The following is a 19336-nucleotide window of genomic DNA, read 5'->3' as shown; positions in this document are numbered from 1 at the left end:
ATAACTGATCCTCTTACCCAGGTACTGAGCATGGTAACCAGTAGGTAGTTTTTCAACCCTTCCCCCCTCCCTTCTTCCTCCCTCTAGGACTCCACAGTGTCTATTGTTCCCATCTCTATGTCCAAGAGTACCCAATGTTTAGCTGCCATTTATAAGTGAGCAGTATTTGGTTTTCTGTTCCTGTGTTACTTCACTTAGGATAATGGCCTCCAGCTGCAACCATGTTGCTGCAAAAAAAGCATTATTTAATTCTTCTTTATGGCTACGTAGTATTCCATGGTGTATGTGTACCACGTCTTCGTCATCCAGTCTACTGCTGATGGGCACCAAGCTTGATTCCATCAGTTCCCTGTTATGAATAGTGCTGCGATAAACATGAGTGTATGTGTCTTCACGGTAAAACGACTTATATTCCTTTGTGTAGACACTCAATAATGGGATTGCTGGGTCAAATGTTTTAAGTTCTTTGAAAACCTCCAAACCACATTCCACAGTGGCTGAACTCATCTACATTCCCACCAACAATGTACGAGTGTTCCCTTTTCTCCACAGCCTGGCCAGCATCTGTTGTTTTTTGGCTTTTTAGTAATAGCCATTCGGACTGGTGTGAGATGGTGTCTCGTGACTTTGATTTGCATCTCTCTAATGATCACTAATCTTGAGCATTTTTTCATATTTGTTGGCCACTTGTACGTCTTCATTTGAGAAGTGTCTGTTCATGTGTTTTGCCCACTTTTTAATGTGGGTATTTGTTCTTTGCATTTAAATGGTCTAAATTCCTGGTAGGTTCTGGATGTTAGACCTTTGTTGGATGCAGATCTGTAGGTTGTCCGTTCACTCTGTTAAGAGCTTCTTTTGCTGCACAGAAGCTCTTTAGTTTAATTAGGTCCTACTTGTTGATTTTTGTTTGTATTTTGCAGTTGCTTTTGAGGACTTAGCCATAAGAATTTTCCCAAGGCTGATGTCCAAAATGGTGTTCCTTAGGTTTTCTTCTAGGATTCTTAGATAGTTTGAAGTCTTACAACATTTAAATCTTTGGTCCATCTTGAGTTCATTTTCACATATGGTGAGAGGCAGAGGTCCAGTTTCATTCTTCTGCACATGGCTAGCCATCCGCTGAATCTTAAAACAAGGTGGAGGTGGTGGTGTTTGTATTCACCACTGTGTTCTATATGATCTAACATTCATAGTGCCAATTGTGTGCCAGGCCTTATGCTAGGTGTTTTCCGTTGATTCCCTCATTTGATCTGAAAGTAGCCCTGTGAGAGTTAAAGGTGAGGAAACTGAGTCACAGGGATATTGGCATAGCTCCTGCTTTGGGTTGGGCTCTGGGCCCTGGTGTGGGAATGCAGAGGTGAGTAAGACCAGGCGCCCCCGGAGGAGCTTCTGGCTCGGGGCTAGGGTGCAAATGTGAAAACCGGCAAGCAAAAGGCAGGGCCCAGGGCAGGAAGTCCCACAGTGTGTGCACCTTGAGTGAGCAGATCGGGGCAGGGGCAGGGCCAGGGAAGGCTTCAGAGTGGGAGAGGGAATGCCAAAGGCACAGAGCCCAGGAGAGTCTCCCCTCGCCAGCACCTCACCCAGAACCACAGAGACAACAGCGCCAAGGGAAACTGAGCAGCCTAGGGCAGCATGACAGCAGGAAGGCAGTACTGTGGGGCAGTTGGCTGCTCACATCCTCCCTCTGGGATGTCCCCACCTTGCTCACAGCCTGAGAGGTTCTGCAGGGCTGTTTCAGCTAACCCAAGCCTTGGACACTCAGTTCCAGGGCCAGACCCACCTGCTCACCTGGCTTGCTTATGTCCAGGCTGTGCTGGGCTCCAGCAGGTACCAAGTCAGTCACCATGACCTGTGCCAGGCTCCATGCTGTGGATGGACACACTCATCCAGCCCATCACGAGAGACCCTTGCTGCAACCGGCACTCAGCATCCCAAGCAGTGCAACCTTGGGCTGGGCCTCCTCTGTAGAGAGGGTCAGATGAGGCGAGGGTCACAGCCCTCCTAGCTTCCAGGGTCCAGGATTCTAGGGCATCCCAGCCTTTCTGGGTTCTGGACTGCCCTCTGCCACTGCTGGGCAGCCTGGCAAAAGGGGAGGTCAGTGCTATTAGCAGCAGCAGCTTCGACGGCTTGCCCCTGGACCCTGCCGTTCACTGGGTAGCAGAATGTGCCTCACACTCTGGGGCCCTACGGGCCTGGCCCCCACTGAGCAGGCGCCCTGTGGTGGGTGTGCGCCCACTGGAGGCAGCATTCCACCCATGGGTGTCCTGAGCAAACCACAGGCCTCTCCTAGGGTGCATACATTGCTGGCTGACTGGGGAGTCTCTCAGAACGGGAGCAGGTTGGTTGGTGTGTTAAGAGCGTTTTGCTGGAACCAGGGTCCAAGGGCAGGACCCAAATCCTGGCGTGGTCTATTCATAGAGCTGGAATGATGTGCACGGCTGATTCTACCCCACCTGTCTCCAACAGGTGAGGTGAGGCTGGAGGCGGGTAGGGATGTGGGGAAACCTCTGAACAGGAGCAAGTGAGAACCCCTTTGCTCCCATCATGCAGGCGAGAGGAGCCATTCTGGGGTCACCAGCTCATGAAGGCTGCAGTGAGCCCCCCCGGGGAGGGAGCAAAGCAGAGAAACCATCCAGCCTGCAAGCAGGTAGCAGTGGGCTCTGGTTGGAGAACCCACCACCCACCGCACCCAGAACAGACCTGCAGTTGATCCATTATCATATCAGCTCATCGCCTTTTCAAAAGCATCCTGGTTTGGATCAGGAAGTGTAAGGTCACACTAGCTCTGATGAACAAGGGCAGGGAAGTCTCAGCTGCCAGCCGGGTGTGCAGCTGCAGCACAGAGGCCTGCCCGGAGCACACAGCTAGGAAGAAACCCGTATGTCCCCAGAGGCCGGGGGCCAGCTGGCCATAGGCAGGAGGGGGCCCGGGAGGGAGCCAGCAGTGGACCCAGGGCCAGGAGAGGTGGGACAGAGGCACGGCAAGGACCCCTGCCTGGCCACTGCTGCCCAGAGGAGTGCAAGGGGATGGCTGCTTTCTATCTGGACCTGGGACACTTGAGACAGTCACTCAACCCCCTCATGCCTCAGTTTCTTCATCTGTAAAACATGAACAAACCTTTGGGATTACAAGGGTTTAAACATTAAATGAGATAACCAACGTGCAGTCCTTTTGGAAGCCATAAATCAGTACTGCGTGTGAGCTGTTGTGTTTAGTAGGTTTAGGAGCAGCAGCCCCCGCAAACCCCAGGGCTGCAGAGAGAGTAGAACTGGCCTCTTGGCCTCACCCCATCTATGTTCCAGGATCCGAAGCCACTGGGTGCCAAGGACAGGCACGTGAGCTACTCTCTTATTTGAACAGGGACCCAATTGTGGATTTGTCAACAGGGCACAGAGCAACACTGATACCCAGCTAAGAGCGTGCAGACACGTGCCTGTGAATACACGTGTGCTGACTCACGGGGTGCCGGCCATGATCACACATGCACACACGCATGCACATGGGTGTCAAGCAGCAGGCCAGCTGCCCTGTGAAGTCACTCAGGCGGGCAGTTCTGTGGTGGCCAGCACAGCCTCGATGCCCTGTCAGAACAGAATACTCAACCCCAGGGGTTTTCTTGAGTCGAATTCCAAGCAACGCATTGAGGAGGACAGGGAGCAGGCAGGGAGCAGGCACCTGAGTCGCTGTGGTCAGACTGGCGTCTCCCCAAATCATCAGCCTCAAGAGAGTGCTGGGCAAGGGGGAGGGGACACCGGGACCAAACCCATGCTTGCTGTTCCTCACTGCGGGGCCCCCTAACTGCCACTCAGGCCCAGGTATACCCCCACACGCACTGTACCCTGGCCAAGTCCTGGCAGAGAGGAGCAGGCAGGGCATGGAGGCCCAGGCAAGGGAGCAGTTGACAGCTGGAAGGAAACGAGACAGGTGCTGGTTTGCAATGGCCAGGCCTGGTTTGCGCTTGGGCATCTTGACTCAACTTGAGAACCCTCTCCCTGGCTCTGGACCCCCCGCGGCTCTGGGTGGGAATGGGGCACTGCCCTCTGGCATGGGAATGGGGCACTGCCCTCTGGGTGGGAATGGGGCACTGCCCTCTGGGTGGGAATGGGGCACTGCCCTCTGGCCCCCCCTGTGGCTCTGGGTGGGAATGGGGCACTGCCCTCTGGCATGGGCCACGTTGCATCTCACCACAGGACGAGGAAAAGCATGCCATGTTGGAATTTCAGGGACGGAAGCTGGCGGGGCAGAGATGGCCAGGGAACAGGAGAGAACAGGAGGGACATGGTGGGAGTGGTGGGCGGGCGCAGGGCAGGCATCCCTGAGTGCCAGGCTGGGTACGTTGCAGTCAGGAGTGCACAGGAGGATCTGAGCAGGTCGCAGGCTGGGGTTGGAGGGTCTGACAGTGTGTGGACTCTGAATTGAGGAGGAAAGGCAGGCGTCAGAGAGATCACCATAAGGGCCATTGTGGGTAAAAACTTGACCTGGCCCAGGATTAGGGGATGGAGCCCTAGGCCGGGGCAGCAGTGGAAGGAGCTGAGGCCCCGCTGATGCAGGGAGAAGGTGGAGTCAAGGGCAGCCCTGAGGTTTTCATGCCGGGACCATGACAGAAAGAAGGGGGCTTGGATGAGAGCTGCTTCCAGAGGAAAGATGGTGGTTGGATCTGAGGTTGTGTGTTAGGTCACAATGGGACATGCCAGACAACAAGAGGTGTAGCAGCTCCGTGTGAGAGATGGGGAAGCTGAGGCCAAGGGAAATCAAAGGACGCCGTCAGGGGCCTCGTGCTGGTGTTTTCTCCTCTGACGATCCCAGACCCTCTCCTCTCCACCTGCCTCTTCTTTGGAGGTGACGTGGGGCTTTCAGGTCCGTGGCTTCCATCTGCCCTCCAGCAAGCAGCCCGGAGTTTGGTTGGAAGGAGGCAGCAGGAAGCCAGGCCGAGCAGACCCGTTTCCTGGCCCTTCCAGGCTGCAAGGTCAGCAGTGACAGCAGCTGCTCTTTATTGGCCCAACTATGTGGCAGACGGTTTGCCTGATTTTTTTTTTTCTAGTTATCCTGACAGCCTAGTGGTAGGAGCAGTATTTTTATTCCCGTTTTACAGATGGGAAAATGAAGGCCCAGAGAGGTTACCTCACCAGAATCCCGTAGCAGAGGCAGAAAGAGGCTGGCAGGTGCACAGGGTCGTCTGGCTGTGGGGTTCAGAACCTTTCTGCATCGCAGGGCCCCTCCATGCATGGCTCTTCCAGGACAGAGGAGAGCAAAGAGGTGGTGGCAGGGGGGTGGCAGAAGGCTATGACTGTGGCTGGGTTCTGCCGTCACCCTCAGTAGCTATGGGACTAGGCAGGGTCTGAGGAGCTGAGGGCCAGACATGGCCCATCTGCCTTGGTGTGGGGGACAGACTCTCAGGTATCCTTGGAAGCCCCACCCCCCGGTGCTCATGCCTTCGTGCAGTCCTCACCTTTGGTGTGGATGGCATTCGTGACCAGCTCCTAGCCAGCAGACTGTGCAAAAGCATTGGGCCATCACTCCCAGGATTACACTGTGCTCTGTAAGATTCCATCTGCTAGCAGATTGGCTCTAGATCCCTTCCTTGCTGGATTGACGAAGTAAGTGGCCATGTTGGAGAAACCGATGTGGCAAGGATCTGCAAGCAGCCCCCAGGAGCTGAGGGCAGTCCCAGCTAACAGCCAGCAGGAAGCCATGGCCCGCATTCCCACCACCACCCAAGTGAGCTTGGAAGCAGAGTCTTCCTCAGTCAGCCCTCCAGATGAGGACACAGCCCTGCCAATACTTCGCAGCCTTCTGAGACCCTGGACTCCTGACCCTTAGGAACTGAAGAGAGCCAATGGGGGCTGTCCTCTGCCAAGTGTGTAGGAATTGGTTAGATAGCAATAGGATAGGAAATGAATATACTTGTCTTGGGAGTGGGGACATTTCCTTCCAAAAGTGGGCCTGGCTTTTAGAATGGGCCTAGGGCAAGGATGGAAAGGTAGCAAGGAAGGAGGGCAAAGGAGGTTGGGGAGCGAGGACCTTTCAATACCAGACTTCTCCCCCAATCCCAGGCTGGGCTCCAGGGTTCTGTACAAGGACTACTTGCCAGTCCCACAAATCCCAAAGATAGCATGACCCTCAGTAATCCCTATCACGCAGGCAGGGGTCAAGTGGCCAAGTGGTGCTCTGTGCACCATCGTCCGGTCATGGTTAGCACATTCCTGCCGAACGCCTTCCTCCACTCGGCCAAGCAGAAGCACCCCCACTCCCATCACCCATCATGACCTGCTGTGGGATGGCTCCTCTCTGGGGTCTTCCATGGGCCTGGCTCACCATTGTCCAGCGTCCCACAATCCTTTATCAGGTTTGCTTCCTTCAGCTAGCCTTCTCTCCAGCTGCCGCTCCCTCTCCGGCTGTCCGTCCCCCTGCAGAGCATCTGTGTGCCCATCCCCGCTTCCCCACCCGCCCCCGGGCGTGCCCCAGCAGAGAGCAGCAGCAAGTGATGTCGTCACACGGTGAAGCCCCAATTCTTGCTTCAGGGCCTCCTGCATGGAGGCTCTGGGGTGAGTGGATGAACTGCTGCCTGAAGACCACTAGCTACATGATTCAGGGAACTTCAGTGACACCAGCCGGGGCCAACAGTGTATTCGGTTGAGATTCCTGCAGTTAGCCAGAATGGACTTTGACTTGCAGAGTACTATACTAAGCCAAACCCCAGTTTCCATTTTTTACTGAATCATAATCAAAATCAAAGCCAAAGACTATTTCTGAAAAAAAGAAAAACAAAGGAACTACCTAAAAAAAGTCAGTGAATTACATTTCTGATGCTGGAAGAAAACCAAAGCGTGAAAATATTCTCTGCACCAAATCAGAACAAAACTAATACTTCCTTCTGCCCAAGTCCTTGGCTGGGTTTTCCCAGTTAGAAGGGAACAAGATGGTTTGAGCTCTGGAATTCACGCTGCCCTTCCATCAGCAGTCCCAAGCGTGAGCCTGCAGTGACCCAGGCTGGGAAGCAGAGTGCAGACATCCCAGGGCCCAAGCTTGCCACTCTTCCTCCATGAGCAAGGCGAGGGCAGGGTGGGGGGAGAGCAGCAGTGCCTTCCTGGGGGCACTCGGCCCGACCACTGAGGTAGGCCATGCAGGGGATGAAAGGTCAGGGGGCTCTGGCCCTGGAGCAGGGTTGCCCAGTGGGTGGGCACGAGGGTGGGCCAGGGGAGGGTCTGCAGGGGGACGTGGTGTGGGCACGGGTGGCACTGGACACAGAGGCCAAGGCCCGAGTTTGAGCAGCTCTGCTGACACCTAACGCAGTGACCTTAGGCCGATCACTCAGGTTCTCTGAGCTTTGGTGTCCTCACATGCAAAATGGGGACGAGATCTGTGTGTCTGCCTCATGCTGTGGCTGCTCTGAACATCGAGGGACTGGGCTTTATGGAAAAGGGAGTCTTACTGTTTCAATGTAAGATTCAGAGTGGAATCTGCTATGGGGCCCCTCCCCAGCCCTCTGCAGTCGGTGACCAGGGCAAAGGAGGAGCAGGGGCCTGGGAAAGTGGCTCCTATATGGTGTGAGGTCAGTGCCTGTGTCCTGCCCCCCAGCAGGGCTGTGGTGGGCCCGGGAGGCGGTGGTGCTGGGGGCAGGAGGGCCGGGGTTAGGTTAATGAAGTATGGATTGACTGGGCTGGGAGCTGATTAGCTGTGGCATCAGGCGTTTCCTGAGCAGCGCCTGCAGAATCAATACTAATCCGCTGATCCCATTAGGGGCACCTGGAGATCTGTGGGACAAAGCCTGTCCCTCCCTCTCTTTGGGGGCACTGGGGTTCCTGGGTGACAGAGATGATATGAACAGCAGCTGTCTTAACCAGCAGGTTGGTGTCCTGCACCCGGTCCGCACAGCACACTGACCGGCGCCGTGTGATGCCTGGGGCTCCCTCTGCTGTCACCACTGAGCCCACGCCCTCAAGAGTCAGTGACGCCGGTTCCCAGCCTGTTCACAGCACTCACCGTCTCGCTTGCTACTGTCATCACAGAATGTCATGTAAACTGTTGAAATAGCGTGTTGAAGTAAATGTGTTGTTTCTATGAAAATTTCATAAGGTGAGTCCAGAAAAAAGTTCTCCAAGTTAGGTAAAGGCTGGCAGGGAAAAGTCATATTCTAAAGGGTGCTACACTCAGACTGCTCACCAAGTGCTCCTCAGCCCTTGAATCACTTTGAAGAAATCAAAACGAGATCGCAGCGGGATGCTGCGATGTGGCTGATGTCAGACGGTCAGCACAGACCTCCCTGACCCCGTGTCGGCTGAGCGGAAGTGCTGAGAGCCAGCAAGGATGGGTCGTTCGGATTTGGGAAAAATTAGCATGCATTGTGCAGTCCTGGGGAAACATCATCTATGGGACAACTGGCTCTGCGAGTTACTTACATTGAAATGTATGGCATGTATGTATCATTTGGAAAGATTCTTCGCCTTAATGGACTTTTTTGATGAACCACTTAACTACTGTTCCCATCTTACTGGGTAAAAAGGCCTTTCTCGTCCTCCAGGGATGAGTACCTCGGACAGTGTCTGAGCTTGTTTGTAACCTACCACGCACACGCATGCAGGCCTTTGGGAACATTTTGCGTTCACACGTCACCTGCACTGGAGCGAGCTGTGTCGTCTCTTCCGCTCTGGACTGAGCAAAGCTTCCCCACCCTGGATTGCCCACAGAATCCAACACAGTGCTTTGCCTGCTACAGATGCTCAATTAATATTTGTTGAGTGAAATTAAATAAGCTCCTCTCCTCAGGGCCTGAGGCATTGCTGAGGCCTTCGTTTGAACACCTGCAGGCTCAGAAGAAAACCTTTCCATGCTTTTACAATTGGCCAGCCTTGAACCACCCCTGCACATGCTCCAGCCTCACATGTTCTGCCCCAGCCTGGGTCAATCAGAGCCTTCCCATCTGAGTCCCAGACACCCCCTAGTCCTTATTCACAGCGCACAGCACCCTAAAACCCATAGACAAATTCCTCTCTGGAGGTGCCATGGCTCATACCTGTAATCTCAGCACTTTGGGAAGCCAAAGCAGGAGGATCTGTTGAGCCCAGTAGGTTGAGACCAGCTGGACAGCATAGTGACACCCTGTCTCTACAAAAAAGAATTTTAAATTAGCTGGACATGGTGGCAGGTACCTGTGGTCCCAGCTACTTGGGAGGCTAAGGCAGGAGGATCACTTGAGTTCCGGAACTCAAGCCTGCAGAGAGCTGTGATCATGGCACTGTACTCCAGCCTGGGTGACAGAGTGAGACCCTGTCTCTCAAAACAAAACCAAATGCCACAAATTCCTGCAGAGAGGTGTTCCCAGTATGGCCGATCTCCATAGGCATACTGGCCCTTAAGTCAGGACTCAGTTCCACGGGCCCTTAAGTCAGGACTCAGTTCCATGGGTGCTGGCCCTTAAGTCAGGACTCAGTTCCACGGGTGCTGGCCCTTAAGTCAGGACTCAGTTCCACGGAGGCTGTTTTGTTGGCGCTCTTGCCTCGCCTCTGGCCCTAGGTGCCCACTGAGCTACACTTTCCTCACATAGGACATCCCTTCATCTTCGCAGAGCCCTATGGTAACCTCCAGTTGCTAAAATGGCAGGATCGTTGAAACTTCCAGCTCAACCTCCCTATTGTAAAGACGAGGTCAAGGAGGGCAATCAGCATGACCCAGGTCCCCGTGGAGCACCTGCCGGACACGTCCAGGCCGCCACCCTCCCACTCCCATGTGCTGCCCCAGCTTCTGCTCCCCATCTGGGAACCACCCTCCACTCTCCCACAGGGAAGTGCTTGCTTCCCTCTGAGGCTCTGAGGGCACCCGGGGAGGGCAGGGCACAGCCTTTTGTGTCTCTACTTGCCGAGACGCCTGAGATCTGAGGTTGGTCACAGATATGGTGCAAGTGTCAGGATGGGAGTTGTGACCACGGCAGGCCTGGGCCCTACACTCACACACACTGCCCACGCCGCGTCCTGCCTCTCCACGAAGTCCCCCTTGTGCCTCCACCCATCTCCTCCTCCAGCACCCCATTCTTCCCCGTGCTTGCCTCCATCTCCTGGGCTCTCCTGGGTGTGGCCAAGCCACTCCTGCACCTTTGTGCTGATTCTTCTGCCTGACCCAAGGTCCTAGAAGCCATTCTGGGGTCCTTGTTAGAGACAGCCTGCGACCACAGACAAACACCGCCCTCCTCCAAGCCCCAGGCAGAAGCAGCAGGCTGCGAGAGGGGACCAGTGCTGGCCAACCTTGCAGCCCCGTCTCAGACTGGGGCCCAGAGCTGGGGGCAGGTGCAGCCCACCCGCTGCCTGGCCCCAAGCCCCTGCCCAGCCCAGGCATCACATCCCACGACCTGCCCCCTGCCGGCCAGCTGGCGTTCTCCAGGCTGGGGGCTCTCTGTGTTCTGCTTGATAACTGCCTGGTAATTAGCTCCACGATTTTGCTACTATGCTTATAATAGCCTCCATTAAAGTTATGGGGTTTTCAAGCCATAATGGCTTCCAGAGTAATTAATGCACAACTGGGTTTATTGCTGAGTTTATTTTTAGAGGTTTTCTCCCTCTCTCCCCCTCCCTTTTCTCTCATAGATGTTTTGACCAAAAAGACTGGATGGGAGCAGAAGGCACCCCACGGCACCCTTGCCCACAGGCCCCATCCTCCCCTCTCTTCCCTTCCCGCCCCTCCTTCCTGCTTCAGCCTCCAAGCAGGTGCTAGGGCCCTGCAGTGGGGGCAGCCATTGCAGAGGAGGGTGGCTGTGGTCCAGGCCAGAGGAAGCATTTGGCCTGTGTGTGCCCCTTACCCACCCTGCGCCTGGCCCAGGTTCGAGAGGCTTGGAGGCCTGGGACCTCTTATCCTATGCCCCCGATGACAGCATAGAGCCAGATGGCCTGGACTCAATTCCAGCTCCACCATTTCCTAATGGTTGACCTCAGGCAAGTTACTCCCCTTCTCTGGCCTCGATGAACCCACAGGGACCACAGCCATGCCTACTGCACAGGGCTGCTGTGACGTTGCAGGAGCAGGTGCATGTGAAGAGCTGAGCCTCATCTTCGGACATCTCTCATGCTATAGGGAAGTTTGTATAAACAACAGTGCAAGCGGGGGCTGAGAGGCTGCCCCAAAGGAAAGGCAGTGGCCCACAGGGACTGAGCTGGCAGGACACTCATCTTCTCTCCTTGGCTTTCTCCATCCTGGTATTAGAACCTGCACCAACACCAGGAGCACTTGAGAAAGCTCCTTCGAGAGTCTCTGAGAACACAGAAGAAATCTTCCTGGACATTTCTGAAGCCCCAGCCAGGCCCAGCCTCCCCATCCTTCATCAGATGTGGCCTAAGATCCAAACGTGTCTTGGCCAAAGAACCAAAACGTGTCTTGACACGCAGCCCCATGCAGCCCCAGCAGTGGCCTGGGTGTGGAGGGACAGGCTAAATCTGGGGGATGTGGCATGAAGTCACTTGCATCTCAGACCACAAGACCCAGCAGGCATCCCGTGTGGGGTTCTAGGCTCTGTCCCTCACTGGGCCAGCAAAGAGGAGTTTACGGGCGGACACAGACACACACGGCCTAGAATGTCCACTAGGGGAACTACGTGCCTGTGACGTTGAACCCCAGTGGGTCTTCCACTCCCCGGGGAATGGGTGGGGGAGACTCTCTGGATGGAGTGGGCCTCTGATGGCGGGGTGTGGGCAGGGGATGCCGGCCGTCCTGGGAAACCACAGTGCTCCTTAATGGAGGGGATGCCGGCCGTCCCGGGAAACCACAGTGCTCCTTAATGGAAGACAAATCCTGGTCTTCCACAGGCGTCAGAACTATTTGGAGAGAGGACCCGGTGAGGAGAGGAAAACACGCTATTTTGGAAACTCAGGGGCTAAAAACCCTCCTCGGCCATAGCACTCGACTCTGCCTGAAATGGTGAGCACACGTGAGCTGGGGCAGGAGCAGGCAGCATGGCCCCCAGGTGAGGTACTGTCCGTATCCAACACTGGGCACTGGGACGGGTGGGCACAGTGAGGCTGGCTGGGCTGCCCGAGGCTGCCTGCCCTCCCCACCACCCCCACGGGTCCCTGCTGCATCATGCATGGTGCTCAGCACAGAAGTGAAAAGGGAGGAGAAGAGGATGTGACAGTTTCCAAGGCGGTCAGGAGGTCTCTTCGCCCAGTGTCCTTGCCATGTGAGAGAACGGTTCCCAGAGATGCTACCAGTGGACCCTCTGCAGGACTGAGGAATCCCAGTGGCTCATTCTCCTCACTTGGGCCCCCTGCTGTTCTCATTTTGGAGGACTGTCTCCCCTCAATGTGGCAGCCCCTGCGGGGACCCCTCTTCTTGCTGCTGCCCAGCCCAGCACCTGGTGCTCTGTCCTGCACAGAGCGGTGCTCCACAAGGATGTCCTATTGACACGGAAGAGGAAGGCACTCTCGTACTTCCCCCCAGGGACCATCCCAGAAACATCTCTTCTTTGTCCTCAAAAGACTGTCACCAAAATGCAAATTGAAACCACAGTGAGATACTATCTCACACCAGTCAGAATGGCTATTACTAAAAAGCCAAAAAATATTAGATGCTGATGAGGCTGCAGAGAAAAGGCAACACGTATACTCTGTTGGTGGGAATGTAAATTAGTTCAGCCACTATGGAAAGCAATTTGGAGATCTCTCAAGAACTTAAAACAGAGCTGCCATTCTAGCCAGCAGTCCCATTACTGGGTATGTATCCAAAGGAAAATAAAGTGTTTCACAAAAAAAACACCTGCACCTGTATGTTCATCGCAGCACTATTCCCAATAGCAAAGGCATGGAATCAATCTAGGTGCCCATCAGTGGTGAACTGGGTAAAGAAAACATGGTGCATATACAGCAAGGAATACTACACAGCCATAAAAAAGGACAAAATCATGGCCTTTGCAGCAGCCTGGATGCAGCTGGAGGCCATTATCCTGAGCAAATTGACACAGGAACAGAAAACCAAACACGATGCATTCTCACTTATGAGTGAGAGCTAAACACTGGGTACTCATGACTGTAAACATGAGAAGAATACACACTGAGGACTCTCAAAGGAAGAACGGCTGAAAAACGCCCTGTTGGGTACTATGCTCATACCTGGGCAGCGGGATTCATCATACTCCAGATCTCAGCATCACATGCAATATGACCCATAACAAACCTGCACATGTGCCCCCAAATCTAAAATGTTGAAATTATTTTTAATATAATAATTCGTGGTCCATATATGGTTAAAAAAAAGAAAAAAGAGAGAGAGAAAATAAAACCTCTCACCCCTTTATCCAGGCTTTGATAAGTAGCTGGCATTTTAGGGCTGCACGGGAGTTACCCTGTTTAATTCTGAGAATGACCTTATGAGGTAGGGATCCACAGTGCCCCATTTTATAGATGGGAAAACTGTGGCATGGAGAACGGAAATGACTTGGCAAAGGTCTTACAGCCTGTGGGTGGCACAGTTGGGATTTAAACCTGGTGTCTCTGCAGTCTGTGCTTCTGACCCCTGCACCCTACTGACTTTCATAAATGGAGCAGAGCCATGGCCCTGTGCCTGTGGGAAGGACAGAGCCCATTCCACTCTAACAGGCAGACAAAAGAGGTCCTCAGGTGATGGACAGTTGAGGCTCCATTGTGGAACCCCCGATGCTGTGTGTCCCAGAGCAGGGCCCAGCCTTGCTGGCATCCATTCCTATACCTGGGTCTCTGGCTATCCGCTTCTGCTCTCTCTTGCAGGTGTCCACCCCCCAGGGTTCCTGACCCCTGCCCCTGGACAGCGACCCCTTCTCAGACTCCAGTTGGGCCGGACTCTCCAAACCTGCTTCCGCAATGGGTGGGTTGTGAGTGCTGGTAAGACCTGCTAGCCAACATTCAGCTGCTCTGTCCTCTCCATGCCTGGCCGGCCCGGCCCATGCCTGTTCTTTTCTCCCCTGTGCTGCCGCCGCCCGTGGCCGCCCCTCTCCTGAACTTACCGCCACTCAGGTAATGAGGAGCCGTGGGTGCAGCCAGCCTTGGAGATGCCGAAGAGACGGGACATCCTAGCGATCGTCCTCATCGTGCTGCCCTGGACTCTGCTCATCACTGTCTGGCACCAGAGCACCCTCGCACCCCTGCTCGCGGTACATAAGGGTGAGCACGCACGCATGCCCTGCCTGCCCAGCTGGGCCTTGGTAGTGACAGTGACCACAGCTGACACGCAGGGTTCTTGCTTGCACTCACTTAGCAGCTAGGAGGAACCACGGGATCATCTAGGCCCCTTCATGAGTCTTGCACCCCTTTGGGAATGGGAAGCTAATGGAAGCTACCCACACAGTTTTAAGATGCCTGGGATGGTAGGTTGGCAGACACCAAGACAGTTGCCTTGAAAGAAGAGCTTGTTACTCTCAGCACCCAAGAGGAGGGGGCACGCCCTGCCCCCTGGGGAAGTGCTGAGGTCGGAGGTGGGAAGTGAAGGGAGGGGGAGGTGGGAAGTGGAGGGAGTGGGAGTCTTTAGTGTGGTTTTGGTAGGAAGGAAAGTGGTTTTCATAGGAAGGGAAGGGCGAAGCACTGTCGGCAGCTGAGCTGGCCCAGAATTGCATAGTCTGAAGAAAGTCAGTGGGTTTAGGATATGGGTGTGGTTTCTAATTGTCTGGTATCGCCCTGGGGTGGTTTAGGGCAGCGGAAGATTGGCTTGGGTGGGAGAGCTCCATAAAGGTGGTAGTGGGTATGAGCTCTAGATCAGGTAGTTTGCATATGAAAAGTGTGTTTGCAGGCAAGGTGTGTACTGTCACTAGGAATTAGCTAGTCCCGGGAGGGGCAGTCCCTCCCCATATCTGCAAGTCCCCCAAGATGTCGACGCATCTTAAAATACAGAAAAACTTAAAAAACAAACATCATTAATACACACACATACACAGAAAGACACGCATGTACAACTTCACATGCCATTTCATGACATGCAAGGAAAGCGACCATTCTGAAGTGGATGGTGGGGGAGGAATAGGATTTCTGGCCTGCAGTGTGTTTTAAACCCTTTCACAGAGAGTATATTGTTTGCCTCTCTTCTTTTCCTGTGTAGGAAACCCTGATCTAGTGCTACCTGGTGGAAATAGGGCTGGAGAGAGGAAAAGTCCCGTGAAGAACTAGTGGAAGAACTAGGGGTAGAACTCCTTTCCCCTGGCTCTGGGTCCTGGGTCGCCTTTCCCTCTCACTCCCAAACCTGCCACGCACCCCACAGCTGGCTGCCCCAGCTCTTCAGCACTTTGTCTCGTGCTTTTCTGCCCCCTCCCCCACTTACATGCACAGGCTCACGTGGGGTCAGGCAGCTGTTCGTTTGCAGCGTGCATGATACCACCTGGCAGTGTGATAAACAAGAAGGCAGCACCAAGCCCATGCAGAGAGAGGTGGTGAGTGCCTGTAACCCCAAGATGCAGGCAGTGTCCAAAAATCACAGCCTGAAGTCGTGCTGCTCCTCACAGTCAAATACCAAGTCCTGCAAACCCATAGCTGTTCCTGAAGCTTCCATGAGGAAGGGCCAAGCTCAACATTGCGGCAGCCCACTGCCCGTGGCTGGCACTTGGCGCCTGTCTTCCTGACATCATCCTCTCCTCCCGACCCTAGGGCCTCTTCTCTGTGCTTGTCAGTTCAGAATCATTGTTATCTTGCAAATACATCACTCCAGAGGGGTTAAAACTACTATATATAAAGCGACATGATATCGTGTCGATTGCGTTCTTGGCAGAGCTCCAGCGCTGGAGACGTCAGGCTGTTTGCTAAGCACTGATGGTGCTGCCTGAGGCTGGGGACTTGGCATTCTGTCTCCCCAGAGCATGCCAAGAGCAAGCGAATGAAAGCTGCAGCTGAGTGAAGTTAGGGTCACCAGGAGGCCTTTAGGACCCAAAATTGCAGACGCCCTGAAGCCAATGGGAAGGGCGAAGCCCAGGAGCACACGCAGTAGCCGTGCCCTAATGTATGGGGACTGTCCAAGGGCACAGGTCCTCTGCGGCCTTGGGATGATTTGGGTGGCAGAGAGGTGGACAAAGTGGCTCCAAACTTCCTCTCAAGGCCTCAGTTTCCAAAACTTGACTGCCCATAGGATGAATTAAGTCCTCTGTCTAGGTCAGAACCCTAGACACCCATCCCGCTTTCTTCCACGTTGCTCTTCTCACAGTTTGACCCCAGACTCCTCTAAGCAGCCCCCTCTGAGCGACTGCGTGTGTGCTGGTTTCCTCCCCCGACCCTCAGCAATTGCTGTGTGCCTGGTGCCATTTGCCCATGAGAACTCCTGAAGAGCCACGAGCAGGCCTCCTGGGTCCGTTCAGATGAGCTCCACGCTAGCGTGCCACACACCCCACATGCTGCCGATGACAGTGGCCGGAGGGAGGCAGCAGAAGAGCTGATGCCCGGGGTCCTCCCCTTTGGTGTGACTTGCTGGTTCTGTCCCCACCGATTGCCTGAAGCCAGAAGGAAGCAGAGTTGGCCACTGCCCTTCCGCAAGAGAGGAAACTGTGCCTGGCGGTGCTCTCAGCCCTTGTGGACTCATTAATCCACATAATAACTCGATAAGTTCGATGCTATTATTAGCTCCATTTTACAGTTGCTGAAATTGAGGCGCCAGAAGCTAAGCAGCTTGCTCAAGGGCACAGGGTTCGTAACGGCAGAAGTGGGCAGGGTCTCAGCCCAGGCACCGGGATTTCTTACCTTTACCACCCGACGGTAAGCTAGGACAGGAGGGCCACACCGTCATTGGTGCATGAGCCCTTCCGATGGAAGGACAGAATTTGGAGAGAAGGGACGCATGGAAAACAAGAATCCCAATGGCCCTGATTTCTCCTCTTGCTAGGACTGCTAGATCTACATATACCTTGGCAACTATGGGCAAAACCCACGAGAATAAAATGCGGTGAAATAGGAAGTTCTGCACCGAGATTCAGAGAATGCCTTACGTAAGGCCAGGAGGGAAGAGGCCCCGCTTGACTGGAGGGCTTGAGAACTCCGGGAGCTGCCTCAGGCTCCTGCGGGCCCACAGTGGGCCCTGGTTGCTGCCGCAGTGCTGCGGCCCTGGGGCTTTGTGGCGTCCACACCACAGCGGGGCAGTGCCACGTGCTCTGCTAGCCCAGCCCTGCACAGGGCAGTGTGGCCAGCTCCCTCCAGATGAGTAGGGCTAGGGAGGGGAGGGTCGGGACGCCTTTTCATAGGAAAGTCAGCACATTCAGGAACTGAGGATGCAATCTTGGAATATGGGCAACTGCGCTCAAATAGCTAGAGGGCTGCAAAGGTGGGAAGGAAGAGGTTATGTCTGTGTCATCAGAGCTAGGACCCTCCCAGAGAGGATTCCAGGGCTGCAGATTTCAACCTTAGAGCTAACAGGTCAGGCAAGGCGGGGGTCTGAGCAGCCCCTGCAGCGGGGGAGGAGGAGGGTGCCCTGGCAGGGTGGGTGGCGTCCCGCTCTGAATCCAGGGCCGTAGCCGGCGCTCTCCTCCCACATCGCCGGTCTCCCGACTCCGCAGATGAGGGCAGTGACCCCCGACGCGAAACGCCGCCCGGCGCCGACCCCAGGGAGTACTGCACGTCTGACCGCGACATCGTGGAGGTGGTGCGCACCGAGTACGTGTACACGCGGCCCCCGCCATGGTCCGACACGCTGCCCACCATCCACGTGGTGACGCCCACCTACAGCCGCCCGGTGCAGAAGGCCGAGCTGACGCGCATGGCCAACACGCTGCTGCACGTGCCCAACCTCCACTGGCTGGTGGTGGAGGATGCGCCGCGCCGGACGCCGCTGACCGCGCGCCTGCTGCGCGACACCGGCCTCAACTACACGCACCTGCACGTGGAGACGCCCCGCAACTACAAGCTGCGCGGAGACGCCCGCGACCCACGCATCCCGCGGGGCACCATGCAGCGCAACCTGGCCCTGCGCTGGCTGCGCGAGACCTTCCCGCGCAACTCCAGCCAGCCTGGCGTGGTCTACTTCGCCGACGACGACAACACCTACAGCCTGGAGCTCTTCGAAGAGGTGAGGGAGGGCCCGACAGTGAGCAGCGGGACCTCCGGCTGCGGGGAGTGGAGGGGCTTCCCGAGAAGGGGGTGTGGGTGCGGAGGCGCGCGCAGGGGGAACCCGGGAAGCCGGGCTGGGAGCGGGGCAGGCAGCAGAGAGCCAGGGAAAGGGATGGAACTGCGGGCTAAAGCATCCCCCACAAGTTAGGGGGAAGACAGGTGGCTCTGGAGCCCCTAAACCATATTCCTGGCCCTAGAGGTATCTCCTGAATGGGTTTGTGAGTAGGTCATTCTGCGTGACTACCAGAAACCTCTTAGGTGGAACAGTTGGAGCTCGCCTGAGTATATGGGCTGTGTTAGTCTCGGGGACAAGGGGAGTCACTTCACACTCTAGAGCGGGGAGACTGAAAGGTTTTAGACAAGGGAGAAAACAGCAGCAGGGCCACGCTGAGAAGGGGAAGACCAGGCCGTCTGAGAGGTCAGGTGTCCCCGGCAGCCCAGGGCAGGTTCTTCTCAGGTGCCCAACCCATGGGATGGGTCCTGGGGGCAGGGCTGTACTGGACACCCCCTAGGTGGCCGCGGCTGGCCATGGGCATAGATAGAGGTGGCTGAAGGATGTCGCCTCCCTTGGGCACGCGCGGCCGTCCTCATCTGCAGTGCCGGCGCCCTGACTCTGGACCCCCCCCTTGTAGATGCGCAGCACCAGGAGGGTGTCCGTGTGGCCCGTCGCCTTCGTGGGTGGCCTGCGGTACGAGGCCCCACGGGTGAACGGGGCAGGGAAGGTGGTCGGCTGGAAGACGGTGTTTGACCCCCACCGGCCATTTGCAATAGACATGGCTGGATTTGCCGTCAACCTGCGGCTCATTCTGCAGCGAAGCCAGGCCTACTTCAAGCTGCGAGGTGTGAAGGGAGGCTACCAGGAAAGCAGCCTCCTTCGAGAACTTGTCACCCTCAACGACCTGGAGCCCAAGGCAGCCAACTGCACCAAGGTGAGACCCTCCGCAGAACTGACAGCTGTGATGCAATGTCTCAAGTACATCCAGACCCTCCCTACAGATCGGGAGAAGGAAACAGAGGCCTCAAAATAGCCTGGGCTTTCTGGAACCCCCTCCCAGGAAGGCAGTGTATCACCTGTAAGGCAGCGACACTGCGGACAGGCAGGGAAAGGGAGAGCAATGGCCACTGGGGAGTTATAACCTCCCACAGAACAGCCGTGCTCCAGCACCTCCCTGCTGAGCACTCATGCACACACACATGCCTACGCGTGCACACATGTGCGCACACACACATGCAGATGCACACACATGCACACATATATGCAGGTGAACATGCACAGACATGCACATATACACATATGCACATGAACATGCATACGT

General features: G+C 55.4%; 1 protein-coding gene across 9 annotated transcripts in view, besides 2 other annotated features; it reads left to right on the top strand.

Moving 5' to 3' along the window:
* B3GAT1 (beta-1,3-glucuronyltransferase 1) overlaps positions 1 to 19336 on the top strand; it is a 33739-nt gene that overhangs the window by 10584 nt on the left and 3819 nt on the right. For 3 of the 9 annotated variants that reach the window (XM_047426771.1, XM_047426772.1, XM_011542753.3), the window contains 5 exons: positions 7842 to 8073; positions 13719 to 13815; positions 13965 to 14111; positions 17471 to 17979; positions 18653 to 18949. In XM_047426771.1, the coding sequence (XP_047282727.1) occupies positions 13812 to 13815; positions 13965 to 14111; positions 17471 to 17979; positions 18653 to 18949 (957 nt within the window). In that variant the 5' untranslated portion in view covers positions 7842 to 8073; positions 13719 to 13811. Of the gene's footprint in view, positions 1 to 7841; positions 8074 to 12674; positions 12690 to 13718; positions 14112 to 17470; positions 17980 to 18652; positions 18950 to 19336 lie in introns of those variants that run through there. The other 6 variants (XM_017017551.3, NM_001367973.1, XM_047426773.1 and 3 more) reach the window with 5 other exon arrangements.
* Positions 3213 to 4072: an enhancer, noted in NCBI's record as "H3K27ac-H3K4me1 hESC enhancer chr11:134267481-134268340 (GRCh37/hg19 assembly coordinates)". NCBI's record gives its function as "activates a minimal SCP1, AML or CMV promoter by ChIP-STARR-seq in primed H9 embryonic stem cells {active_cell/tissue: H9 hESC(primed)}" and the evidence as "EXISTENCE:reporter gene assay evidence [ECO:0000049][PMID:30033119]".
* Positions 7397 to 8227: an enhancer, noted in NCBI's record as "H3K4me1 hESC enhancer chr11:134263326-134264156 (GRCh37/hg19 assembly coordinates)". NCBI's record gives its function as "activates a minimal SCP1, AML or CMV promoter by ChIP-STARR-seq in naive and primed H9 embryonic stem cells {active_cell/tissue: H9 hESC(naive and primed)}" and the evidence as "EXISTENCE:reporter gene assay evidence [ECO:0000049][PMID:30033119]".

This window comes from Homo sapiens, chromosome 11 (assembly GCF_000001405.40).
Source record: "Homo sapiens chromosome 11, GRCh38.p14 Primary Assembly".
Taxonomy (NCBI): Eukaryota; Metazoa; Chordata; class Mammalia; order Primates; family Hominidae; genus Homo; species Homo sapiens.
This window is presented reverse-complemented; position numbering and strand designations above follow the sequence as displayed.